Here is a 27,124-nt window from a genome sequence, read left to right as displayed (position 1 = left end):
GACATCGAGAAGGAAGGGGTGACGCTCCTAGGAGATGATTTCCCACCCCTGTCCACAAGGAGGATTGGGGCAGCCTGGAGAGGCTCAGTGCCCGCAAGAATTAAGCAGAAGTTGGGACTGGACTGTAAACTGATGCTGTCGCACATGCTTTGGTTCCTGTCCCAAGCCTCCCAGGTTGCTCCGGGTGACTCTGGCCCAGCTTCTGGCTATCCATGAACACAAGTAGTCCCAGGGAGTCATTCTGGCAGAACCCAGGTCTGCTAGCTAAGAACTCCTGAACCATCCGCAATCTCTGCCTGTGGCCTGGACTTGGTGTATGGCCGGCAGGGTGGAAGGAGAACCCACAGGGCCTCTGAAGACAGGCAGGTGGCACACCTGCGGCTGGGAGGATTTGGAAAAGGAGTCCAGCGCCATTCATTTTTCATTCATTTTCCAGCCCAACGTTTGACCTGAATGCTTCACGCTCACACTGCACACACTACTCCATTTATAATACAACTCGAGAAGGGCACATACTACTCCATCCACAGCTCAGTGAAGGGATGCATACTACTCTACTCACAATTCAACGAAGTGGTGCATCTGCCTCTAATTTACTAGCTACCCTGGGGACCTTGGACACGTTGCGTGTCTGGAAATACTGCAGGTGATGTGTGTGGAGTAGGCTGCAGGCTCACCGTCCTGCAAATACTAGCTGTACCACCACCGGCTTTAAAGTCCAACAGACCTCTGGCCCAAGTCAAGTAGCAGAGGATCCAGGGCTTGGGTGGCCCACAAATAGGATTCTTCTCCAAAACGAGGCGCATAATGGCCTTTGTCTCCTCGACAGAAAAGGGAAGGTAGACTGGCTTCCTCTATGGGCGACCTTCGCGACTCTGGAGAAAAAGACCTCATCATTCTCAGACTTGGGAAGGAAGACTAAGCCCGGAAAGGTGGGGACAAGTCCGCTCCAACGCCGCAATGGGGAGTAGTAGGGACCCAGCAACCCGGTGCCGGGAGCCCTGCACCCTGGGAGGGAGAGGCGGTCGCTGAGGCAGGAAGAGGAGGAGGAGAGAGAGGAGGGACGCACCGGGTCAGCTCGCGATCCTGCTGCGCAGGGCGGGGCTCGGGCCGGTCCGCCCGCGCGCAGGTGAGTGAGCCAGGGCGGAGCGCAGCTGCGCCGGGCTTGGGCGCCTGGGGCCGCCGCTCCCCACCGTCGTTTTCCCCACCGAGGCCGAGGCGTCCCGGAGTCATGGCCGGCCTGAACTGCGGGGTCTCTATCGCACTGCTAGGGGTTCTGCTGCTGGGTGCGGCGCGCCTGCCGCGCGGGGCAGGTGAGTGCCGGGCTTTGGAGGCGGATGGCGTGGAGTGGTGAGCTAGCCAGCCAGCGGACGCCCGGCGGAGATGCGGCCGAGGGACGCAGGGTGCGGAGGGTGCGGAGGGTGCGGAGAGAGGGCGGGGACGGCGTAGTCAAAATGCGCGGGTGGCTCCGGGACCCCCGGACTGTTCGGTTCCTGCGCGCGCCGCGTCGGGCGCGTGGGCCTTGCCCTCCTGGAGTCAACCTTGCCCTCGGCACGTGAGAGTGTCCCCGATCGGGGAGCCTCCCGGTCCGGGAGGATGAGCCCGGTGCTGGCCGAGAAGGCGGGAAAAGGAGCTCCCGGTAGCCGATCCCAGGCGACATGTCCAAGGTGGCGCGCCGTGCGCCCCAGGGTCTTTGCCGGGATTCTTGAAAGCACCCAGGCAGGGTGTGGGAAGAGATCTTTCCTCTCCAGGCTCGCCCTCTACCTCCTCGCCTGGTCCAGAGAGAAGGTGCAAAAAAAGTGCTTTCACGTCCGCATTTCCCACTAGATCCCCTTTTTCCCGTCCGCACGCTGCATTCCCCCTCTCCTAAAGTTGAAGAGCGTTGGTGCAAAAATGAAAGCGCCCGGATTTCTTTTAGGGGGTCCCAGAGAAAGCCGCCAGGCATCTGCGCCACCGCAGAGACTGGACATTCCCGCGCCCCTCGCACTTTTTGGCAGTGGACTTTGAGGGCAGGAGGCTGTTGTTCCGGGGATATGTGTGAATTTCGAGTTGTTTCGGTTGGGGGAAGGGACCAACACGTCCCAGTGACCTGTGCCAGCCAGGAAATGCCCTGTGGGCCCTGGATGTATTAGAACGTAGTAAATAACCTGGTTTCTTCATGTAAGAACTTGATGTGAGGCTAGTACAGGTTTCGCGAGATTAGTACAGGTTTTGTGTTTTTTAAATAGAGCTCTCCAGGAAGCCATGTGGGTTTGATTCCCCTTGCTGCATCTAGGGTGGATTTGTGTTTGGCAGGTGTAAATTAGATAAAGGAATAAAAGGACGCAAGTGAGGTTGAATTTGGGCGTCCCGGTGACTGCCGTCTTTACAAATACAAGACAGGAGCTTCTAAAATATCAATATAAGCTCCAGGAATACTTCCTGGTTCATTCTCCAACATCAGGTGACATATTGCTGCATAGTAGATAGAAAATTTAAAACTTCATTTAAACCATGGCATGGATTTATAAATATATATATAAATTATATATATTAAAGTAGAGACAGGGTTTCACTGTGTTGCCCAGGCTGGTCTCGAGCTCCTGAGCTCAAGTGATCCTCCCACCTGGGCCTCCCAAAGTGCTGGGATTACAGATGTGAGCCACTGTGCCTGGCTGATGAATATTTACTATAATTTCTTAGGACTGAATTTCCAAGATTCCCTTTGAAGAAAAAGAATTAGTTTAAGAATAAAAAGGAAGTGAAAATATGTGTATATGTGTGCTGAGAAAAATGCGTGCCTACCAGTCTTGGAACAGTATTGAAACTCTGGGAATTATCTGAGATGTTTTTGGCTTTCTGTGACAACAGTGGGGAACTCTTCCAGTCAGAACAGGGTGTTAATCAAGGCATTGCTAATAATGAGAGCCTCTGTTCCTGGTCTCATTTCTCCCTGTGATCTGGGAAGGCTGCCATTTTGGTCCAGTAACTCCAATGGAGTCCCTTCCAGGAAGTCCTTGACTGGCTGAGCCCTGTCTCATGGTTCAATACATAAATACGTAGAAACCTAGGAACTTTCCCTTTCGCTTTCTTAAGTTCCTCCCTATGGTCTCAGGAACTGGCCCTTTGAGGGTACATCAGGCTGAACTGAGAGCTTTTGTGGTTGGAGTAGTTGCCTGTAGTCTTGAGGATCTAAGTGGCAAAGGCCTTTGAGAAATTCCTGGAGACTGTCCTGAAAGGATACAGAAAGCCAGAGCCCTGGCACAGTGGATTTGTTTTATAAATCCATGAAGTCTCTTAACAAAGAAAGACTCAGCAGAGTAAAAATGAATTTGGTGTCACTGCAGAGATGAAAAGTAAAGGAAAGTTTGTGTCTTGGTGTCGTGTGTTTGTGTGACTTTGGTATCCCCACCAACTCCCCCATTTCCAAGAGTGAAACACTGGTTACATTGGGATCATAGCCTTTTGAAAACCTCCATTTGGTTGCTTTCTAAGAACCACTCAGATACCAGAGTCTGGGTCAGTGACCCCAATCTTGCCACCATTGTCTCTTGCCAAAAATGTGAGCAGACAGATCAAATGATATATTCACACTCCCTGGGTGAGTGTGGGTGTTCATTCTGTTTCCGATTCAAATGAGGAGCTACTGGCTGTTGTCTGGAATGTGTAACTGGTAGCGCTGATGAGTCTCCCCCATCTCCTCCCCCACATCCCCACAGATTTGCATGACTTGGAGTCAGACCTGTTAGCCCTAGGGCTCACCTCAGATGCTGCCATTTCATCTATGATGGTTGCACGCCTTGCATGTGCACACACACACTCTTCTGGGTGTTCTCCCTGGCTATCAATATGGGGGAAGGAAGTTAATAATTAAGATGTTTTAAGTAGCATATAGTTATTGTAGAAAAAGTGGCAATAAATATAACCAAAATGGAAAAAAATTATCTATAAGCAAACTGCCTTATTCACTTTGATGCAGTCTTCTTAATGTGTATGTATGCACGCTCATGTGCACAAACCAAAAATGGGATCATCCCATTGTATGGCTTTAACCAGTCCCCAGTTGTTGGACATTTAAGTTGCTTCCAGTTTTTCTTATTAAAAATAGAACACGTCCAACAATAGCCAGCTGCTTGTATCAATTTTAATAGGTCTATTCAGTGAAAAGGCACTTGAAATTACATAGCACAGACTAGAAAATGACATGAAAGGATGAACCATTATCCTCATGTTGCCAAGGTTATAAAATGGTATCAACTGGATTATCCCATTTTGATGTATCTAAGAATGTGTTCTTCAGCTGTGTTGTTCTGCACACTCTTTTTTTAAATTTTTGAGACAGAGTTTCACTCTTATTGCCCAAGCTGGAGTGCAATGGCGCGATCTCGGCTCACTGCAACCTCCGTCTCCCAGGTTCAAGCTATTCTCCTACCTCAGCCTCCTGAGTAGCTGGGATTACAGGTGTGCACCACCACACCCAGCTAATTTTTTGTATTTTTAGTAGAAACGGGGTTTCACCATATTAGCCAGGCTCGTCTCAAACTCCTGACCTCAGGTGATCTGCCCGCCTCGGCCTCCTGAAGTGCTGGGATTACAGGCGTGAGCCACCGCGCCCATGTTCTGAACATTCTTAACTATTTTGTCCAGCTACAGTTCTGGAAGCAGAGTTGCTGGGATGAAGAGTAGAGAGGCTCTTAGGGCTTTGGACGCGCATTTCCACGTTCTGGAAGCAGAGTTGCTGGGATGAAGAGTAGAGAGGTTCTTAGGTCTTTGCACGCGTATTTCCGTGTTCTGGAAGCAGAGTTGCTGGGATGAAGAGTAGAGAGGCTCTTAGGGCTTTAGTTGCGTATTTCCATGTTCTGGAAGCAGAATTGCTGGGATGAAGAGTAGAGAGGTTCTTAGGGCTTTGGATGCGTCTTTCCATGTCACCTGTGGAGAGCCTGTCCTGGTGTGCTTTCCAGCCATCAGTGTGTTAGTGCTTGTTTCTCACATTCTCCCAGGCTCTCCTCACTGTTGTTTCACCAGCATCTATGGAAGAAGCATTTTCCTCCCTCCAATTTGGCAAATAGAATCTGGACAGTGTTGCTGGGCAGACTCAAGAGTCTTAGAAGCACCACCCCAGCTGGATGGTACTAATAGCTCACCAGTGCTTTTTTGCCAAAAGAAAACAGAACTGGGTCCCTTGGCTTATAACACAAGCCTCACCTGCGTTTTTGCCTAGCGGTGCTGACCTGGGTTTGGATGGGATAGGATGAGGTGGGGAGTGGGTAGGGAGAGGAGTCTGCTGGTCAGAAAGACCCCTGATTGAGGTCAGGGTGGGTGGGACAGTGGGAGATGATAAGACCACTGATGTGGGGGACCAGTGGCTAGGGTTCTCTGCCTTGGTGGTTAAGAAAAGTTTATACCGAGCCAGGCGCAGTGGCTCACGCCTGTAATCCCAACACTTTGGGATGCTGAGGGGGGCAGATCACATGAGGTTAGGAGTTCAAGACCAGCCCGGCCAACATGGCAAAACACCGTCTGTACTAAAAAATACAAAAATTAGCCAAACATGGTGGTACACACCTGTAATCCCAGCTACGCAGGATGCTGAGGCTTGAGAATCGCTTGAACCCGGGGGGCAGAGGTTGGAGTAAGCCTAGATCATGACACTGCACTCCAGCCTAAGTGACAGAACAAGACTTTGTCTCAAAAAAAAAAGAAAAGTTTATACCCCTTAATTATCATTCTAAATTATAAAAATTATGCCATAATCAAATTATTTCAAACCACTTCCCACAACCTTGTAATTTTCATCTCCCGGGCAGCTGGCGCATTCTAGACAACCAGGTAAGGAGATCCAGGCTCCTTCCCTCGCCCCTTTGTAGCCTTGGGTTTGTATCTGGTCCATCAGTCTTTAAAAGTATTAACTACTATTGCTGCTTGTAATAGCCAACACATTTGCTGTGCCAGCCACTCCTCTGAGGATTTTACAAATAAGCATCTTCTGATTAACATCAGTAATCCATTCCTGAAAACCAGACATTCTGTATGAAAACACTAAGCAACGCTATACATCCCATTATTTTATGTGGGAAAAAGTATAACAATCCACTGCACAGCGATGCAAAACCTCTAACAGTTTCTGAAAGTGTGATGAAAAACAGGAAGATACCTGTGTATAATTAACCAATCCTGTTAAGCATAAAGTGCATAAGACATCACTTGAGGACTACCAAACCATTTACATGGTTGTTTGCAAACAGTTGCTTTGTGTGCAGTAATGTAGGGCACCTCCCTTTGTTGACATTTTTGACACTTGGGGTGTCCTCACTTGATCCTGACATTCTTTTTTTTTTTGAGACGGAGTCTTACTCTGTTGCCCAGGCTGGAATGCAGTGGCATGATCTTGGCTCACTGCAACCCCCACCTCCTGGGTTCAAGTGATTCTCATGCCTCAGCCTCCCAAGTAGCTGGAATTACAGGCGTGCACAACCATGCCCAGCTAATTTTTGTATTTTTAGTAGAGGTGGGGTTTCACCATGTTGGCCAGGCTGGCCTCAAACTCCTGGCCTCAAGCAATCCACCCACCTCGCTCTGCCAAAGTGCTGGAATTATAGGCGTGAGCCACCACGCCCAGCCAGATCCTGACATTCTTGATCCTAGTGTATTTGGAATATAAGTAAAGACTTTCTGCACATAATTTTGTTTAAAATGTGTTGAGGTTGGAGATGTAAATATACACATTTCTGAAATAGACCTTGGCCAAAAATAACTTTCATAGATGAAACATAAGTTCTACAGTGTTCAATGATAAAAATGAAGCTATTTTCTCCTGAGAAAATGTAAATGGGAGAGGTGGTCTTGAGTAGGTCTGCGTGTCATTTAATTCTCCGTCCTCAAACAATTGCTCTTACTAACTTCCTGTTAGTAGGCACAGAGAGGTGACGTGACTTGCCAGGGCTCCCTAGCTGGTATGTAATGATGCTGAGCTGGCAGCCCCAGGAGTATGACTCCAGAACCCAGCTCGGTCATAGGACTGCAAGGCCAGTAAATGCCTCCCCTCAGGGTGGGAATATGCTTAAATAATAAATCTGAGAACGTCTTGAAAAGAAAATTAAAACTGTTCCCTGAGCACAGATGGCGTAGCTTTCTTTAAGTTTTAAATGAAGTGCAAATGATCCTACCCTCAATGACAGGAGATCAAAGGGTTCCGGGAGAAATGTGCCAAATGCAAAAATGTACAAGGTGACAATCTGCTGCCTTTGTCTGGGTAAATACAGTCTCCAGAAATGAGTTTTATCAACTCCCTGAGTCCAAAGATTATATAGAGTTGAAGTCGGGCTGTTGTCTTTATTTTGGGTCTGCCTACTTCCTTGGCATCTGCCATGTCACAAAACCCTTGGAGCCATGAGAGGGCTTCTTCAATTCTTGGCAATGTGTGGTCCAGCTGGGAGCTGAGCTAGAATGGTGTACATCCAGGCATATGCCATATGCATCCAAAGAGATGCCTTCTGTTACTGATCTGGAGGCGGGAACATCTGGCCATTTCAAACAAGGAAGTTTGGCTAAAACAATGTTTAACCCCGAGAACAGCTTAGAGCAGACAAGCAGTTTCTGGGACATCACAGAGAATGCAGAGGTGGTAAGATGAAGCCCCTGAGTTTGAAGGACTCACGGCATCTCTTGGACACAGGTAGACAGTCAACTCCTACAGAGTGGCCACCAGCCACAGTGGAGAGGTACACACCAAGAACCAAACAACATAATGAGATGAGTTATTACACACTGCTGCTCATACTGGAACTCTGTGCTCTGCTGGAGTCTGCCCAGGGACACTGTGTCAGGAGGGTTCAGCCTGTGTTGATGGGCTGTTTTCACATCAACTGCCCTGCTGACAAGTCTCGCTGGAGTTGCATCCTGGGCCACCCTCAAGGATACAAACACCAGGCTCTCCCGGTCACTATTGCCTCTGAGTTCTTGCTCACTGCTACATTGCCCGTGTCTTCAGACTGCACATCCCAAAGGGCTTAGCTTCCCAGCTGGAAGTTGGTGGAGGGAGGAGGGCAGAGAAATGGAAGGACTGGAGCCAAAGACCTCACTGGACTCAGAGTTGCCTTTCCAGCTTTTTGGAGACAGCCTCATTCAGACAAGCTCTGGAGTTGGTCAAAGCTTGGTTCAAATCCTGACTCCACCACTTATTAACGAGGTGAGCTGGGCAAGTTGCTTAACCTGTAGGGACAGCAGCACCCTGAGGCTGGCTGGAGGTCTGAATGAAATGATGTGTGCACTAGTCTGGCCTAGAACAAATTCCTCAGTTAGTGAGAATTTCATGACTTTGTGCTGTAGTTTGGATGATTGTTTCCTCCAAATCTCATGTTGAAATTTGATCCCCAGTGCTGGAGGTGGGGCCTAATGGGAAGTGTTGGGTCATGGGGTGGATCCCTCAGGAGTGAGTGAGTTCTTAACTCTGTTAGTTCCCTAGAGAGCTGGTTGTTAAAAAGAGCCCAGCAAGAACCCCCTGCCCTTGCTTCTTCTCTTGCTATGTGATCTCTACACACCAGATCCCCTTTGCCCTCTGCCGTGAGTGGAAGCAGCCTGAGGCCCTCACCAGATGCTCAATCTTGAACCTTTTAGCCAGCAGAATCATGAGCTAAATAAACCTCTTTTCTTTTCGGTCTTTCTTTTTCTTTTCTTTCTTCTTTTTTTTCTTTGAGATGGAGTTTTCGCTCTGTTGCCCAGGCTAGAGTACAATGGCACAATCTCAGCTCACTGCAACCTCCACCTCCTGGGAAGCAGTTCTCTTGCCTCAGCCTCCTGAGTAGTTGGGATTACAGGCGCCTGCCACCACCTCCGGCTAATTTTTGTATTTTTAGTAGAGACGAGGTTTCACCATGTCGGCCAGGCTGGTCTCGAACTCTTGACCTCAGGTGATCCACCCGCCTCGGCCTCAGCCTCCCAAAGTGCCGGGATTAAAGGAATGAGCCACCGCAACCAGCCAAACCTCTTTTCTTTATCAATTAGCCAGCTTTAGGTATTCCTTTATAGCAACACAAAACGAACTAAGACACTTTGATTATTTGAGTCAGGTCCAAGAAGAACATTTAGATATTCAATAGGCAGACAACCTGGGCCAAAATTATAGGCTATCATAGTCTGTATAACCAGGTCTCTAGTGGGAGACAGTAAGATTATTTTTGACTTTTGTTACCTACACATTGTGCTTTGGTTACTGTCCCAGTGCAGTCGACTTTGGGGACGTGTAAGGATATCTGTGGAAGAAATTCCTAGAAGTGAAGCTGCTCAGTGAAAAGCCGTATGAAGTTATTCTAAAAGACACTAGAACAAGTTTTTAAAAAATGTTCTGTGAGCAAGTGCCTGCACACACATGAATTTCCTGGTAGCCAAGGAACTGACTGGACCAGTTTTATAACAACTTAATTGTCATGCTCAGTTACATTTGAGATGGGAATGAGAACACCCCAGTGGTCTCCTGGGGATTGCAGCTATCTTCATGACCGGGTGTTATTAGCCAAGACTGGGCTGCAGTTTGCCAGTCTGTGAAACTAGAGCTAGATCTCCATGGAGGGAAACCTGGCAGGGCCCTGGCCTTTAATCCCTGCTGAGAGATGGAGGATTACTCTGGAACTGGCTTGGAAGTTTCTGACAGTCTTATCAGGTACTTCAGCCTTGGGCTACATCTGTCAGAGCTAAGTCCTTATCTTCACGGAACATAGAAGACTTTTTTTTTTTTTTTCTGTTGCCCAGGCTGGAGTGCAGTGGCATGATCTCGACTCACTGCAGCCTCTGCCTCCCAGGTTCCGGCAATTCTGCTACCTCAGCCTCCCATGTACCTGGGATTACAGGCACGTGCCACCATGCCTGGCTAATTTTTTTTTTTTTTTTTTGTATTTTTAATAGAGATGGGGTTTCACCATGTTGGCCAGGCTGGTCTTGAACTCCTGATCTCAGGTGATCTGCCCACCTTGGCCTCCCAAAGTGCTGGGATTACAGGTATGAACCACTGCACCCAGCCTAGCAGACATTTTTCAAGTTGTAAACAATGCTTGGATCATCTTGCAGAAGCCCACCACAACCCGAATGGTGCCAAACCCTCAACATAACTTCTTCTAGCCTCACTGGCCTCTGCCTCTATGGGAAATACAACTCAAGTTCCAGGCAGGAACCTGGAATACTGGTGGGAAGGTATGTCCCACTGGCATCTTCCCCTCCTTGCCCTAGTTGCTAGAGACTGGAAACAACCCAAATGCTCATCATTAGAATGTGGAGAGAAAAACACAAGGATCAGAACAGTACATATGGCATGCAACCTTTTGGCAAAATAAAATGAAATAGGGATGGTATATAAATACACACTTGCATATTCATAGATTACTTCTGGAATAGTGCACAAATACTGGTAATAGTGGTTGCCTATGGGAACAGAACCAGATTCAAGGGTAGGAGAACGACTTTTTACATTTTGTTTTACTTTATTGTGTGCTTCATATATTATTTATCTAAATGTAAAAATATTTTTCAGCTCTACTGAGATATAATGTACATACCATCAAATTCACCAGTATCAATTGTATAATTCAATGGGTCCTGTCAAATGCATGGTATAACATTTCCATCACCCTGCGAAGTTCCTCCAGATTCCTTTGTAATAAATCCATACCTCTTAGCCCCTGGCAACCACTGATTTGCCTTCTGTCACCGTAGTTTTGCCTCTAAGATATTTTAAAAATAAAAACAATTTAAAGCCAGGTATGAATATAGCCCTTACTATTTTTGTTGCATTAAAACAAATTTCTCAAGTATAGACCCCGTCTTCAAAAAAGCCTAAAGTTACTTCCTGCAAGAATGTGGTTGTGTAGAAGGGATGCAGTAGAAGTGTTAAGTTGCTAGGAACTGAGGAGTTGATGACCAAAAAACTGACTTCTCGACTTGGAGCAGCTTTTCATGAAGAGCAACTTGCTGTGATTTGTTTTGTTTTGTTTTTTCCCTATCTACTTTTAGGGCCTAGCACTGAGCAGGCCTAGAAAATTTGATTTATTATTTGATGGATAACTGGAGATCACCTATAAGAGCAAAGCAGAATATAGTGGAATGAGGATTAATGCTTCATCGCCCCAAATTTTCTAGCTAGTTTTGTTCCCATCCTCCTCCTTCTTCCTTAGCAATAGCTCTTAGCAGTAGGGCTAACTTCTACTGTAAGGAAGGAATATGGTTCATGAAAAGGAAAGTACTTTGACCCACAGTCTCTCTCCCTGTCAGGAAGAACCATCTGCTTTTTTTTCTTCCACCCACCCACACAATGTGCTTTGGAGCCAGGCTTCTTAAAACCCCCAACTCAGCATTCTTGGTTCCTTAACTTAGTTTTTCACATCCCTGAATTCTCAGAAGGTCTTGAAAAGATCTAGCCCAGTCCAAGGTCATTTTGATAACAAATTCTGTTCATTCTGTAGATATTGGCGACCCCTTGTGCATCTAGCTCTGTGTGCCCTTATCTCTTGCTCTCCAAGGACTCACCATCTGGAAGGGATTGAAACATGTAAACCAGGGGCTACAAATTGATGGCCTAGGGGTTTTGGCCTAGTTCCTTTTTGTATGTTTTGAAAAAACCTAAATTACAAAGTATTTGATAGAGCTTGCACCCTCTAATTCAACGAAGACCCTCTTCCCTATGTTGCCTTTCATATTTGGGTTTGCAACAATTTCCAGTGTAATAAGTAAAGCAAGAGATGTAGGTATAAGAATTGCAGTATAAGCTTCTACAGGCAAGACAAGAGAAAGAGGAGGACAAAATATTCTCCTGGTGCCTGAGGTCTGTGGGACATCATTAACAAAACCCCGAGTTTGGCCCTGGAGCAGAAGTATAGCTCTGTTATTAATTACCAATAACCCCACAATGTTTATTTTTATATTTAAAATGGCATTTCCCACCATCTCTGAAATGACAACTTGCTAAGTGATCCACTGTCTGGAAAGACGCAATTCAGAGTTAATCCTTCAATATCTGATTTCTAACTGGAGATCACCTACAAGAGCAAGCAGAATATAGTCTAATGAGGATTAAATTCTTGATTACTCCAAATTTTCTAGCTTGGGTTTTGTTCGAAGCCTCCTTTTCCTCCCTTGACAATAGCTGTTAGCAGTAGGGCCAACTTCTACTGTAAGGAAGGAATGCAGAAAGTGCTCTGCCCCACAATCTCTCTCCCTTTCAGGAAGAACCATCTGTTTTTTGTTTTTTTTTTTTTCTATCCACCCACACAATGTGCTTTGGAGCCAAGCTTCTCAAAACCCATCTCAGAATTCTTGGTGCCTCAACTTAGTTTTTCATATCCCTGAATTTTTGTATATTCATCTTAAGATCACTGGCTGGTCCCAACATTGACACTGTCTTGTTGCCAATAATGACCATCCTAGTTGATATAACGCCTTCCGTAATGACTGTCCTTGTTCTTGTAACTTCATTATGATGCCCAAACACCTTTTATAATGGCTGTCCTCGTTGACTTAACACCTTCCACATCCATACCTTTTACTGCAGTCACCCTTGTGAATGTATCTTCTACCATGACTATCCTTGTTGATATAGTATCTTCTATAATGGCCTTCCTCATTGACATAACACCTTTCAAAGGTAACCAACTTCTGATGTAGGTTATTTTGGAGAGCTGTCTGTAATGGACATCCTCATTGACATAATACCTCCTGGAAGCTGCCCTGGGCCCTCTGGGTGAGGAAGGCATGTGTCTGGCCCCAAAGATCTCCTGGAGTGTGCCACGTTGTGTTGCTGATCTGTTTATCCTGGGCTGCCTGGTTTGCTGTGGAATCATGTTATTGACCTGGCTTGTGGTCGCTTGCAAGGGCTTCATTCAGAAACCTGTTTGCCATCTCAGGCTGTGTGGTTTGCTCTCCCGTCCCCCACTTTAAGATTGCTGGACACAACAACAGCAACAACAAAAATGGTGTTAATCCCTGGTCCCTAAAACAGAAGGTTTAAACTGAGGGATGTATTTCTGGTTGGCTGCCCTGGCCTCTGGGATGGCAATACACCCACACTCCCCAGTCAAGTCCCCTGAGTGATCAAGAGGTTGGGGCTTTGCAGTTAAGAAAGAAGTAGATCTGGGCCGGGCGCGGTGGCCCGCGCCTGTAATCCCAGCACTTTGGGAGGCCAAGGCGGGGAGATCACGAGGTCAGGAGATCGAGACCATCCTGGCTAACACGGTGAAACCCCGTCTCTACTAAAAATACAAAAAATTAGCTGGGTGTGGTGGCGGGCGCCTGTAGTCTCAGCTACTCAGGAGGCTGAGGCAGGAGAATGATGTGAACCCCGGAGGCGGAGCTTGCAGTGAGCATAGATCGCACCACTGCACTGAGACTCCATCTCAAAAAAAAAAAAAGAAAGAAGTAGATCTAAGGCCTCAAAAACATGGGTTTCTCCCCTTGCTCAGTGGGGAAGCTGACATCCCAAATGGTCACTTCCTCTCACACCCTGGCTGCCGTGGGTGGGTGCTGCAATCTGTCCTTCCAGGGCAGCAAGAAAGGAGCAGGGAGTGAGTCAGCTGGTGGTCATCCTTCAGACCACAGTGAAGCAGAGGATGGATTGCTGCCAAAGTATCGGAAGTAAAGGCAGTGACGGAGGTGGTGAGGACATCGGAGATGGAGGAGGAGCAGATGCTCTTCCTGATTGATTGCCCAGGGCTTGTGATTAATGAGGAAGAGTTTGGGGGACTCAGAGGCAAGATTACAGGCCAAGGAAGGGCCCACGCTAGGGAGAGACTTCTGTCTTGGAGGGCTGCTAGCCTCTTTTTTTTTTTTTTTTTTTTTTTTTGAGACGGAGTCTCGCTCTGTCGCCCAGGCTGGAGTGCAGTGGCGCGATCTCGGCTCACTGCAAGCTCCGCCTCCCGGGTTCACGCCATTCTCCTGCCTCAGCCTCCCAAGTAGCTGGGACTACAGGCGCCCGCTACCACGCCCGGCTAATTTTTTGTATTTTTAGTAGAGACGGGGTTTCACCGTGTTAGCCAGGATGGTCTCGATCTCCTGACCTCGTGATCCGCCCGCCTCGGCCTCCCAAAGTGCTGGGATTACAGGCGTGAGCCACCATGCCCAGCCAAGAGTTCTGTATTGGTTTTCTATTGCTGCATACAAATTGCCAGAAACTTGGTGTCATAAAACAACACCTGTTAGCTCACAGTTCTGTAGGTCGGAAGTCCAGAAATGTACAGCACGGGTGGGTTCTCTGCACAAGGTCTCAAAAGGCTAAGATCAAGACGTTGTCAGGCTACATTCTCCACAGGAGCTTGTGGTGCTCTTCTGAGCATGTTGGTTGTAGCAGAATCCAGTTCTTGTGGCTGCAGGTCTGATGTCTCCCTTTCCTTGCTGGCTTTCAACCAACACTGCTCTCAGCTTTCAGAGACCACCTACATTCCTTGTCATGTGGACCCCTCCATCTTCAATACTAGCTACAGAGACTCTCCCTTATGTTGAATTCCTTTCACACATCGACTCCTTTTCTCCAGGAAAAGCCCAGCCTATTTTAAGAGTTCAACTGATTAGGCCAGAACCACCCAGGATAGTCTTTCTTTCCTAAAGTTAACAGTACCGTTCAACATGGTCTAATCAGGCGAGTGATATCCCATCCTTCCCACACTCAAGTGGAAGAGATTCTACAAGGATGTGAGTCACTGGAGGGCATCTTAGAATTCTGTCCACCACTGGGTGCCGTGGCACAGAGGCTTTGCCCCCTCTGTCGGAATGGTAATGATCATGGCCATCAATCACTCTTTGAGGGCCTGCCACATGCCTGGCTTTGCACATGTGGTCTCATTCCAATGCTTGTAAAAGCTCTGCACAGTTGATGTTTTTAGCCAAATGCTGCAGATGAGAAACTTATGGTTCAGAGAGGTCAGGTGGCTTCTAGTGGCCCAGCCAAGTGACTGAAGTGATGAGGCACAGAAGCAGGGAGTATTACACATGTGAGGTCAGGTGATGGGGGCCGCAGAACAGGTCTCTGTCTTAATAGAACCTCCTCTCCTGCTGCCTTTTGTTCCTCCCCCATGAGTGGATTTTCAAAGCTGCAGGCTGAACTAACCTAGAGCTGAACATTTTGGTAGTGAAGTGTTTCCCTACTACCACCCCACCCCGTCTCTAGTGTTATCCTTTGAGGGATGACAAATGGTAAGGTAGAAATAGCCGGATGTAACCTTCTGGAAAAGCTCATTTTAAACTGAACTTTATTTTTAGTTTAAGCAGCTCATGGCTTATGTTCAGACAAGTAAGAACGTTTTCTTTTATATGTCTTTTTTTTTTTTTTTGAGACGGAGTCTCACTGTGTCGCCAGGCTGTAGTGCAGTGGTGTGATCTCAGCTCACTGCAACCTCTGCCTCCGGGGCTCAAGTGATTCTCCTGCCTCAGCCTCCCGAGTAGCTGGGATTACAGGCATGTGCCACCACGCCTGCTAATTTTTGTATTTTTTTAAGTAGAGACAGAGTTTTACCGTGTTGGCCAGGCTGGTCTCGAACTCCTGACCTCAGATGATCCGCCTGCCCTGGCCTCCCAAAGTGCTGGGATTACAGGCATGAGCCACCACACCCAGCCTTACATGGCTCTTAATCGCCAAAAAAATGCAGTCCTGTCAGAACATTTCTCACAGGCCTGCCCGCAGCAGTGTCCCTTATTCAGTGCGTGGCCTACAGAGACCAAGGTAAGGTCTCTGAATGTAGTGGTCAATGGGCTGCATTATGTGCTAACCAGCTTTTCACTTATCAGGGAAATCCTTATTTTTCGTGACCTTTTGCCATCTTTTGAGTTTTCTAGTCATTGACATCATTTTTGTTTAAACAAGTTTCTCTCCCTCCCTTCCATAGTAATCCAGGGGATTACTGTGAATATATATGAATTTGAGGCTATGTAGTTTTAGTCAATGTTTGGTTGGCATCCAAATTAGTAATTAGCAATTAATTCTCACCTACATTATGCTAAATGAAATAAGCCAGATACAAAAGGACAAGTACTGTCTGATTCCACTTAGATTAGTAGTCAAATTCATAGAGACAAAGTAGGATGCTGGTTACCAGGGTTGAGAGGAGAGATGGGAGTTATAATTTAATGGATACAGGGTTTCTGTTTAGGATAATGAAAACATTCCAGAGGCGGATGGTGGTAATGGTTGCACAACAGTGTGAATGTGCTTAATGCTTCTGAACTACACACTTTAAAACGGTTAAAATGATAAAGTTTGTGTATGCATATTTTACTATAATAAAAAAGCAAAAAGAAATATTTGCAGGGTTTATTTATAGGTGCTTTTTTCCCTTTTCTATTTTATTGAGTTGGGTTTTTTTTTTTAACCACAATAAAAAAAATTTTTTTAAAGAAGTGAAGCATAGGTCAGGCACGATGGCATGCACCCGTCATCCCAGCATTTGGGGAGGCTAAAGCTTGAGCCTAGGAGTTCAAAACCAACCTGGGCAACATAGGAAGACCCCCGTCTCTACAAAAATGAAAACAAAAAAATTAGCCAGGCATGGTGTCATTCGCTGGTGGTCCCAGCTACTCAGGAGGCTGAGGTGGGCGGATTGCGTGAGCCCGGGAGGTCAAGGCTGCAGTGAGCTGTGATTGTGCCATTGCACTCCAGCCTGAGCAACAAAACGAGACCCTGTCACTGAAAGAAAAAAAAAATGAAGCATACCTTCCAATTCTATGGCTAGCTTTGTAAATATACTATTGGTTTCTAATGCTAGACTGTCTCTGCTAAAAAGGAAGCTCCTCCCCTTACAAGGCCCAGGGACAACACCTGTAAGCAACTCCCCTGAGCATAACTCACTGCACTTAGGGTTCAGATCATGAGGAAGGACCAACAGGTTTTTCTCCTCAATTTTCAGAGTTGTGCAAACAACAATTTGTTGTAACAAGAACCGTGAAGCCCTGCAAGAACCTAGTACCTTGAGGGCAGAGACTGAACCATCTGTGGATGAGACCTTATGCCCAGGACCTTACAGGCACAAAGATCGACTCAGAAGGGGTTTGGTGTATGTCCAGAAGGATGGCGGGAGAGGAGCTTCTCAGCATCCAAGAAAGTTTCACATAGCTAGCAATGGTTTTACTGAGTTTTAAGAATTGTTTTATTGTGGCTGGACACAGCCTCAAGCCTGTAATCCCAGCACTTTGGGAGGCCAAGGCAGGAGGATCGCTTGAGCCCAGGAGTTCAAGACCAACCTGAGCAACATAGTGATACCCTGGCTCTACAAAAATTAAAAAATTAGTCAGGTGTGGTGGCATGCGTTTGAGGTCCCAGCTATCCAGGAGACTGAGGTGGGAGGATTGCTTGAGCCTGGGAGGCCGAAGCTGCAGTGAGCCAAGATCACACCACTGCTCTGCAGCCTGGGTGACAGAATGAGACTGTGTCTCAAAAAAAAAAAAAAAGTTGTTTTATTGAGACTTAAGTACCCAAATCTTAAGCGTATAGCTGGATAATTTTTAGGTGTGTGTGTGTGTCATATTGTGTGTGTGTGTGTGTCTTGTTACCAAGATTTGGAACATTCTAGTACTGCAGAATTTTCTCTCTTACCCCTTTCTAATCACCTGCCCACCTTCCCCACCCCAGGTTCACTATTCTGACATACAAGCACAGATTGGTTTTGTCTTCTTGAACTTGATATAAATAGGATTTATATCAAGTCTTTTGTGTGTGGATTTTTGTTTAACCACCCCGCTGCTGACTTTTTGTCAGAAGAACTTGAACAACTATTTAATCTCTGATGGCAAGGTTGGACCATTGGAATGAGGTACTCTGGAGGGAATACTAAAGACACTGGAAATTCAGTAACTTCTAAACATTTAGCAGGTGAGGGAGGGGAGCTGTGGGCCTTTGCGTGTGTGTCCCTGAGTGTACATACAGATGGGTTTTTTAATCCACTCCTTTGATTTTTCTCCAGCCATCCTTGTGATCCTCAGTGACTTTCATGGTCCTCGTGACTCACACTTCAAGGTTTAACAAAATAAATCTTTTTAACATTTCATAAAATGTTAATGTGATTTAAAGTAGCCTTGTGGCATTTTAGCATCTTGTATGAATTATTTACAGTGGTCACAAGGTGAGTTATATTTGTTATTTAATTCTGCAATTCCCGTGTTCAAAGTCTGTTATTATGCAGCTTTCTTACCTCTGTGGTCCTCTTGGAAACCATTCCTTCACCGATACGGTGTGATTCAATCTGGAATTAAATGTTAATGTCCGTGTTTTGGATTGACAAGGAGCCTTAAGATGGCCTCAGTCTCAGAGGGGTTTATACGCAGATGTGTCCTTTTGCTACAGACTGTGATATAGACTGTGACCCAGACAGGGCCACCTCTCTCATATGGCATGTGTCTTTGATCATAAAAGGGAAAAATGCAACAGAAGAGTTTGGATGGTTCTGTGCAAACCTGTCACCACTTTAGAAAAATGATTCAAAGCATAAGCACTGCAGACAGTGAACTGCTAGCATTGCTTTTGAGGAATGGTTCAGTTACTTTAGAAAATAAATAACTTGGCCAGGCACAGTGTCTCACGCCTGTAATCCCAGCACTTTGGGAGGCTAAGGCAGGTGTATCACCTGAGGTCAGGAGTTCCAGACCAGTCTGGCCAATATGGTGAAACCCCGTTCTACTGAAAGTACACAGATTAGCCAGGCATGGTGGCGGGCACCTGTAATCCCAGCTACTCGGGAGGCTGAGGCAGGAGAATCACTTGAACCTGGAAGGCAGAGGTTGTGGTGAGCTGAGATTGTGCCATTGCACTCCAGCCTGGGCAACAAGAGCAAGACTCTGTCTCAAAAAAGTAAAATAAATAAAAGAAACAACTTGCATCATCACATATCATTTTCTTTCTTAAGGACCTTGAGAATTAAGAGTAGGGAGTGAATGAATGTATAAAACAGTCCCGTGTTGATAAACTGTTCCAACAAGTTGGATTGACTAAGCGTGCACATGGTTCTTTTCAACGTTGCTATTGGAACTTAATTTTACTCTCTTCTGTAATTAATCTAAGAGCTGTGGAAATAGTAGACTATTTTAATGGGAACTTTGTGTCTCTCTCACTGAGGGGGTGGGACCCTGATGTCTCTTGAGCCCTGAGGTCACTGGATATAATTCTGGAAGTTGGAGCCCGGCCTTGTTCATCTTTGTATGCCAGCACCTGGCATGACAGTAACTCATGGCAAAATGATCTTGAGAGATGTGGCCAGAGTCGGCCTTCATCAACATTTTGCAGCAAGTTGTCTCTGCACTTCCCACCTGCACTGTGCATGCCCTTGTCCTACTCCCTCGGGCCTTCTTCCCTGCCCTGACTTCCCAGTGCAGTCCTGTGTCTCAGGCCCACTGCAGGTGGGAGGTTGTGCTTGATCACTCCCCAGGTCCTTTCTTGATAACTAGGGTCTATGTCCAATCCTTCCTGGGTGTTAACTGATCACTGCAGTGTTTAATGTGGTCCTTTCCTTTGGAGAGCCTATAATGGCAGAATGGCAGGCAAGTTCTTGTAGCCACCTGTGGCACAGTATCTTCAGTTGGGAGGTGCACCTGCCGTTGGGGTTGGGGAATGGGATGGTCACCTGCCCTGCCACCCATCCCTTTCTCCAGACCTGCAACAGTAGCCTGAAAGCATTTCCTCAGCTTGGCCTGACGGCTGTACCTTGCCCCAGCTTCTTTCTAGGGGAGTCTGGTAAGCAGCCATCATTTCACATCCCTTTACTTCTCAGAGGGAGAATGAGAGATTTGCCCTGCTGTCTTGACAGGCTCTTTCCTGAAACCAGCCATGGGAATAAGGTGGAAGGAGTGGGGTGGGGAATGGGAATTGGCAGGTCCTGGCAGGTCCTACTTGACTTCCAAACCAGTGGATGAAAGGCTTTACAGCTCAGATACCCAGAAGGACAGGTGGAGGTCTCTTTTAGGAAGAAGCATTTCCTGTGAAGCCAAAGCAGAAGCCTGGTTGAAATTGACTCAAACTTGCATCGGATTTTCCCATGAGTCTCATTGACAGCTGTCTAGAGAAGTGAGTCCTGCAGGCCAGGGCTTCTATAGCATGCTTTTCTGCTAAAACTTGGCACTGGCCTTTCATTCCCAGTGCTTTGTTCTAGAATCATGGCTGCTTTTCTTTTGCCACTAACTCAGCCACATTAACTTCCCATGCCCACACCCCCCGGGCAGACCTCATGAAGCTGTGGAGCCATCAGCAGTGGAACCATGCCAGTTCCCTTTCTTAGAACCTTACACCTGGCACTGCCAAAAAAGAACAATACAAAAGAACAACCACGCCCCAAACATTTCAAATTCTGTGGAATTTAAATCTTAAGCTTAAATTCCAACTATACTTTCAAATTACTTTGACATGAAGGAGGATTTGCAGTAATACAGTGTGCTTGTTGGACCATTTAAAACAAATATGTTTTCCTTTTGATATCCTAGAAAGCCAGCAGCTTGGAAATACTTCATTCTACCTTGATTGACTTTGTTGGTAAGAACAACGCACCATCATCAGAAAGTTCCTGGTTGTGTGTGGAGTTCTTCGGGCGGGGCTAGCTCTGATGAATAGTCATTTATCATGCCCCGGGCACCGGTGTCAGAGCTGGGACACAAAACTTGTCTCTACCTCTTATTAATCATATATGCCTGGGTACATTACTTAACCTACCCAAGCCTCAGTTTCTTCATCTGTACAATGGGGTTTAATATTAGAACCTACTTTATGGAGTGGTTGTGGGGATTTATAAATATTTATAAACATATGCACGGGGCTGCCTAATATTAAGGAATCATTAAATGTTTGTTGTTGTTACTATTTAGACAGGCCTGGTGTCTAGATTCCAAAGGTTTTTCTCCCATCCAAGAGAGAATGATTAGCCCTTGAAATGGCAATTCATGTTCTAGTTCTTTCTTATGTGAAGGTGGAAATGAACTATTTCCAGGTAGGCAGATCAGTGGTCTTCCTGTTGTTGGCAAGACTTACACCTCAATTTACCAGTCTGTAAATGGACCCGGCCAAGTCAATGACACGTGGATTTTGAGTGTCTAAACCAGTTGTCTCTCTATGCCTTTAGGCCTCACTGCCTCAGGTCCACTGGACTAGGAAGACTCCAAGTTTGGCGATGTGACTATCTGGCACCCCCACCCCTCCCACAGCAGGCACTGTTAGAATGAATTCTGTTGGAGGTGACTCCCCACTTCCTGGAATCAGCCAACAACTGCATTCACTTAATAAGAATGGCAGTTTCTGTCACCTCCAGGGTAGACAAAAAAAAGAAACAGAGAGAGAGAGAGAGAAGAAGGAAGGAAGGAAGAAAGGAAGGAAAGAAAGAAGGAAGGAAGGAAAGAAAGAAAGAGAGAGAGAGAGAAAGAAGGAAAGAAAGAAAGAAAGAAAGAAAGAAAGAAAGAAAGAAAGAAAGAAAGAAAGAAAGAAAGAAAGAGAGAGAGACAAAGAATGGCAGCAGTTGCTCCTCTTCTGCTAGGTAACTTGACCAGCCTTGGCAGCTTCTATGAGGGCAGCTCATTGTGGTACCCTGGGTGGGTGGAGACTGCAGAGGTGCCAGGGTTGAACCAGAATGTCCCAGCTGCCTCCTGAGTTCAGCAAACTTGGAGAAGGGAGGTCACTTCTCTGGTCTCAGTGAGGGTGCTGGAGTCACATGAGTCAACATGTAGAAGGGCCTATTAATAGCCAATGATCAGGGCCAGGGCCATGGCTAGGTGAGGCAGATAAGGTGTGCAGAATTTAAGGAGGCACTCATACTTGCTTCCTTAAGTGGCACTGCCCTGACAGTGAGTGCCTCCTTAAGGTTTGCCTCTTCAGTGCTTTGCCTGCCTTACGTAGTCCCCACCCAGCCAGCCAGGACTGTAGGCTTTAGACTCAGAGCCAAACTGCTGCTATAGTTGTCTGCTTAGCACCCTTCAATGGTGCCCCATCGCTGCTAGTAGTAGTTGTAATATGCTATCATTGATAATATCAACAATACTAACAGCCAATATTGATTGACTACCTGGCACCATTCTAAGCACTTTGTAGGTATTAACTCATTTAGGCCTTACAGGAATTTCATTATTATCCTGTTTGCAGATGAGGAAAGTGAGGCACCAAGAAGCTAAGGAATTTGCCCAAGGAAGCACATCTGGGTGAGTGGTAGTGCCGGGAATTGACCCTAGACAGTTTGATTCTAGAATCTGTACTCTTCACCACCACACCAAGCTGCTAAGGTGTGCTGGTCCCAGTGGGTGAAGCCCAAACTCCGTGGCCAACAACCAAGCCCTTTCCCACTTCTCCAGCCTCCTCTACCCACCCAAACAAAACTCTGGCCAAATCAAACTCCCCAGAGTGGCTCCAAGGAAGCCATGATTTTCATATCTTGGCATCTTTGCACCTGCTATTCCTTCCATCTGTCCTTCCTGACAGTCATCTCACAGTTCCTGGTTGGCACACTCATATCCATTCTTTTAGACCCATCTTAAGTCATACGCCTTCTGTGAAGCCCTCCTTGACCACCACCCCCAGATGGTTGATAGCAGACCCTCAATGTCTTCAGAGTACCTTGAAGTTCCCTGGTGTCCTAAAATTACTATTTGGGTCTAATGAACAGACAGGCAAATGTTCATTCAATGTGTGTGAATTCAACACTCGCTCCCTGCAGGGAATAAAGGTTGGGAGAAATCATTGCAATGGTGTGTGTGTCCCCTTGGGGTGGATATGAGGTAGGGTATAAACTTGCCAATCTGCTGGACATCCTGGGGCTCCCATGGTGTGCACATCCACAATTTAATGAAACGTATTTTGCAAACCTGGCCCCTAAAAGCATATCACGACTTATCTGATGCTCAGTCTGAAAAGCAGGGATCTGCTCCATGGATGGAGGAAACACCAGCTGCTGGACTTGTTGAGAATGGAATGTTGGTCTGCAATGTGACCTCTTCCTAAGAGAGGACAGGGCTATTTTGGCCATAAGTGGAACCTGACTCACATGCAAGCCGTGACTGAGCAGCCACAAACTTCTTGGTTTCTGAGTCTGCCTCCCTTGGCATCCTGGGCACTCCTCCAGGGCACCATGCATCTTAATATGTATCTCCTGGTGCCTAGGCTGAGCCCAGCCCTGGCTGGGAGCTGCTCAGTCCATCTTCCTTGGACAGAGAAGGTGAATGAGAGCCGAGTCCCACAGGCAACCACACCCAGAATTGAGGCAACTTGTTCCAATTCGTCTACAAATTTTAGACGGGTTGCCAGTTATTTTGCCAGTCTTTTAAACTGTATTTGACAGATCTGGGAGAAAAATGACTTCCGGTGTTTATCACCTGGAATTCCCTCCCCTACATTAGTTTCCCTTACTAGAATCGAGAATTGCAAAGAAATAGGATGGCAGGGAGAAGAAATAACAGGGATGTGTGATATGGTGATTAATGAATGGTGAATCATGAATGATGATTAAAACAAATGGAAATTCTTCCCCCAACCCTGCCTGCCCAGGAAGGAGCTGGTGAGGCAGATGCTCACAAAGGTGTCCTAATAAGGAGAGGTCAGGAGGCAGGAGAGCTGAAGAAAAGAGCTGTGTGTGACTCAGGAGCCCAAGCCTGTGCCTTGTAAGCTTTTCCAAATGCCCTAAGCCCAGGAGCCCATGCACTGCTCTAGTGAAAGCTTGGATGCCTTTCAGCCCATAAAGCCTCAAAGTCACACCAGAATCTGGAGCATTTCTAAGTTTCTCTGAACCTGGGTAATGATTTTCTGAAATATTAGACCAATGAAATACCAAATTCCTGGGGAGGCAAAAGAAAGAGATGTGATCCAAGCATTTGTGATCAAATGAGCTGACAAGTTACTCTACTTAAGCAGTGGGGATTTTACCACTGTTTTTATTGCAGCGAAATAAATGCCTCCAGAGTGGCAGAATTGGTGGGGGTCAGGAGAGAGTCCACATTTCAAGTATGTACAAGGTGTTGAATCATTATCTTCTTGCTCCTGTTCACCCCTTCTAGCTAACTTATTTATCAGTTAGGATGAGGGGGATCATTAAAAATGACAGCCATGTGAGTGATGTGTCCTTGGCTGTGACCCTAGAAAAGAGCCTATAATATAAGTCATCTCCTCCTGTTGGAAAGGTAGCTAAATTCAGCTTTGCCTATCATGTGTCTTTAGCTTAGTTGTTTCCTCTGAACTATGAGCTGGACACCAGGTGGGGGATTACTCAAGCCCAAATTCTCTGGTCTGGTATACCAAAGAATAGTTACAAACTACAGCTGGACAGTAGAACGTGCTGGGTTGATCATCTCAGCCAGGGCAAAGAAACATATTAAGACGTTAAACATCTACCAGGAGTGAGTCATTTAACCCTCGTAAGGTTTCATCTTCCTTGATTGCAAAATGAGTTTGTGTGAAAGACCATAAATAAAAAATAGAAACAACAGAAGTAGCATTAGTAATTCATGAAGGAAGGACTGGTATATTCAACGCTTAGAGTTGGAACAATGGGCTCTCCATATGGAAAAAAAAGTAAAAGCGAATCCCTACTTCTCACCATGGACCAAAAAAAAAAAAATCCCTACGTCTCAGCATAGACCAGTACAGATTCCCAGAGCCCTTGTTATACCTACTAGGGCTTAGAACTTTATCACAGACCATTTGTAGGCCCTTAGTCTAGGCTATTAATTCCCTAAGGGCAGGGACTCTGGCTGTTTTTATCATTAAGTCATTTGCACCAAGTGTGTCCCTAGAATAGATTATGAACCCAGAAAATGTTTGTCGAATGAATACATCATTTCCAAAATTCTTTAAAAAATGAATTTCTAGGCCAGGTGCAGTGGCTCACACCTGTAATCCCAGCACTTTGGGAGGCCGAGGTGGGCAAATCACTTGAGGCCAGGAGTTCAAGACCAGCCCAGCCAACATGGTGAAACCCCCTCTTTACTACAAAATACAAAAATTAGCCAGGCGTGGTGGCACACCTGTAGTCCCAGCTACTCGGGAGACTGAGGCACGAGAATCACTTGAGTCCCAAAGGCAGAGGTTGCCAAGATCACGCCATTGCACTCCGGCCTGGGCAACAGAGGGAAACTCTGTCTCAAAAAAAAATTTCTAAAAGAGATTATACATTTTTCTGGCTGGGCACAATGGCTCACGCCTGTAATCCCAGCACTTTGGGAGGCTGAGGTGGGTGGATCACCTGAGGTCAGGAGTTCAAGACCAGCTTGGCCAACATGGTGAAACCCCAGCTCTACTAAAAATACAAAAATTAGCTGAGCGTGGTGGCACATGCCTTTAGTCCCAGCTACTCGGGAGGCTGAGGCAGGAGAATAGCTTGAGCCCAGGAGGCGGAGGTTGCAGTGAGCCGAGGTTGCGCCACCGCACTCCAGCCTGGGCAACAGAGTGAGATTCCGTCTCAAAAAAAAAAAAAAAAATACAGATTATACATTTTTCTTTGACTGTCATTATAAAAGAATACCTTGCCATATACCCAGAATTATTTTGGGTACTAACCTGGCCAAACAACAGAGAAGAACTGAGTGGAGAGATTTTGGTGAGATCAGCTTTGGTCTTCTCTGAATCTAAGTTAAAGAGATTTAAAATATTACATATACCTAGGCTTCCCCCAAAATATTATTAAACCATATTTTAACTGTGGTAATGATTATTCTTTTATTAATTTATTACATGCCTACTTTGTGTGAAAACATGATCTTTTGAACACTTTTTCTTTTTATTAAGGTATAGCTTACATAAAATAAACATCATCAATTTTAAGTGTACAGTTTGATGAATTTTGGCATTTGTATACAAGGTGTAATCACTGCTATCGTCAAGATACAAAACAGTCCCCTCACCCTGCACGGTCTGCTTTGCCCCCTGGTACTCCATTCCCTCTCCCCATCTCTAGCCTTAGGCAATGCAGCTCTGCTTAGCGTCTAGCACTGATTTAAAATAATGATCATAGGGGCAGGAATTTTTAAATAAAGGATAAAAAAGCTGACAGAAGGGGAAATGGGAATAAGAAAGAAATTGGTAACATAGCTAGATGGGCTGTAGCCTCAGATTGGACTCAGCTTCACTTGCTGGTGAATTAGCCCAACTTGGAGAGACTGAGGGCTCCAAGAATTTTTTTTACAAATAACACAGTTAGACGTTTTCATGATTACAGAAAAAGAACACAAGAGTTGTAATATACAGCTCAGATATAAACCTGGCAACTGGGTTTCTGAACATAGATCTGGATTCATTTTTAATCTGACATCTTGAGGAACTCCTCAGCCTCAGAAGATTCTAAATGGCCACACTGCTTGAAGACCAAGCATTTGAGCAAATAAAACTTCTGCCCCTGAGAATATATTCTCTCTCAAGCTATTAATTAAAAGATGCATAGTCCCTTGTTCTTGCCAGGATTTATTAGCCGAAAGTAAAATATGGGAATGGTAGTATGTCTATGAGAAATTAAATGCGGTGAAGACAAGCACACAGGGACTAATAGTTTTATATGGAGTTGTTTTGGGGCTTAAAACGTTTTGTCTCCTCGTGGGGATCAGGCACTGCCTTGGTCGTGGGGCTACCACTAAAAAATACGGGCAAGTTCCTGCTGCCTCCTGTAGGAGCTCACGGACATCAAGCGCAGGGTTCAGGAGGACTGAAGTGGTGGGGGGAGGGGAGCACTTTAGGTGGGCTGGTCAGGGAAGGCCACTCTGAAAATGTGACCTTTGTGCTGAGACCGGAATGACAACAAGGAGCCAGCTTTTTCTAGAGAAAGCACTTTTGGTGTCAGGACCAGCATGTGCAAAGGCCCTGAGGTGGGAAAGAGGTTGGTGTGTTCAAGAAAGAAGGCAAGACTGGCCTGAACACAGTGACTAAGGTGGAGAGGGTTACACGCAGAAGCCAGAAAGACAAGAAGTTTTGCCCCAAAAATGGAAATCTAAGCACTCTTGCAGTCATAAAACTGGCCATGGCAGTGCCCTGGTGCCCAGAGAGATATGTCATTTCTGAGCAGTAGTTGGGAATTCTTCCAGTTACAAAGTCGCTTCCTACTTACTCAGGTAATAGTCATAGACTCAGAGCTGGCAGGGAGTGTAGAGTTATTCTAGCCCCACCCCTTCATTTTACAATGAAGGAACAGAGGCCCAAAGAGGGTAAAGTTCATACCTGAAAAACCATTCTAAGTGAGGT

At 46.1% G+C, this 27,124-nt stretch overlaps 1 protein-coding gene across 6 annotated transcripts in view, besides 4 other annotated features; it reads left to right on the top strand.

The window, feature by feature from the left end:
- Window positions 1-1,036: 1,036 nt before the first annotated feature.
- Window positions 1,037-27,124, top strand: part of CDCP1 (CUB domain containing protein 1) — a 64,206-nt gene continuing 38,118 nt past the window's right edge. For 4 of the 6 annotated variants that reach the window (XM_011534024.2, XM_017007070.2, NM_022842.5 and 1 more), the window contains exon 1: window positions 1,141-1,313. In XM_011534024.2, coding sequence (XP_011532326.1) covers window positions 1,232-1,313 — 82 coding nt within the window. In that variant the 5' untranslated portion in view covers window positions 1,141-1,231. The other 2 variants (XM_047448759.1, XM_024453718.2) reach the window with 2 other exon arrangements.
- Window positions 8,208-8,502: an enhancer, noted in NCBI's record as "tiled region #12576; K562 Activating DNase matched - State 5:Enh". NCBI's record gives its function as "activates a minimal TATA promoter and a strong SV40 promoter by Sharpr-MPRA in K562 cells {active_cell/tissue: K562}" and the evidence as "EXISTENCE:reporter gene assay evidence [ECO:0000049][PMID:27701403]".
- Window positions 18,979-19,223: a silencer, noted in NCBI's record as "fragment chr3:45169788-45170032 (GRCh37/hg19 assembly coordinates)". NCBI's record gives its function as "represses an EF-1alpha promoter that drives an FKBP-Casp9 reporter gene in an ReSE screen in phorbol 12-myristate 13-acetate-treated (for megakaryocytic differentiation) K562 erythroleukemia cells {active_cell/tissue: K562(+PMA)}" and the evidence as "EXISTENCE:reporter gene assay evidence [ECO:0000049][PMID:32094911]".
- Window positions 22,541-23,040: an enhancer, noted in NCBI's record as "H3K27ac hESC enhancer chr3:45165971-45166470 (GRCh37/hg19 assembly coordinates)". NCBI's record gives its function as "activates a minimal SCP1, AML or CMV promoter by ChIP-STARR-seq in naive H9 embryonic stem cells {active_cell/tissue: H9 hESC(naive)}" and the evidence as "EXISTENCE:reporter gene assay evidence [ECO:0000049][PMID:30033119]".
- Window positions 23,041-23,542: an enhancer, noted in NCBI's record as "H3K27ac hESC enhancer chr3:45165469-45165970 (GRCh37/hg19 assembly coordinates)". NCBI's record gives its function as "activates a minimal SCP1, AML or CMV promoter by ChIP-STARR-seq in naive H9 embryonic stem cells {active_cell/tissue: H9 hESC(naive)}" and the evidence as "EXISTENCE:reporter gene assay evidence [ECO:0000049][PMID:30033119]".

Source organism: Homo sapiens, chromosome 3 (assembly GCF_000001405.40).
Source record: "Homo sapiens chromosome 3, GRCh38.p14 Primary Assembly".
Lineage (NCBI taxonomy): Eukaryota > Metazoa > Chordata > Mammalia > Primates > Hominidae > Homo > Homo sapiens.
Note: the sequence above shows the minus strand (reverse complement) of the source record. Positions and strands in the feature narration are given on the sequence as shown.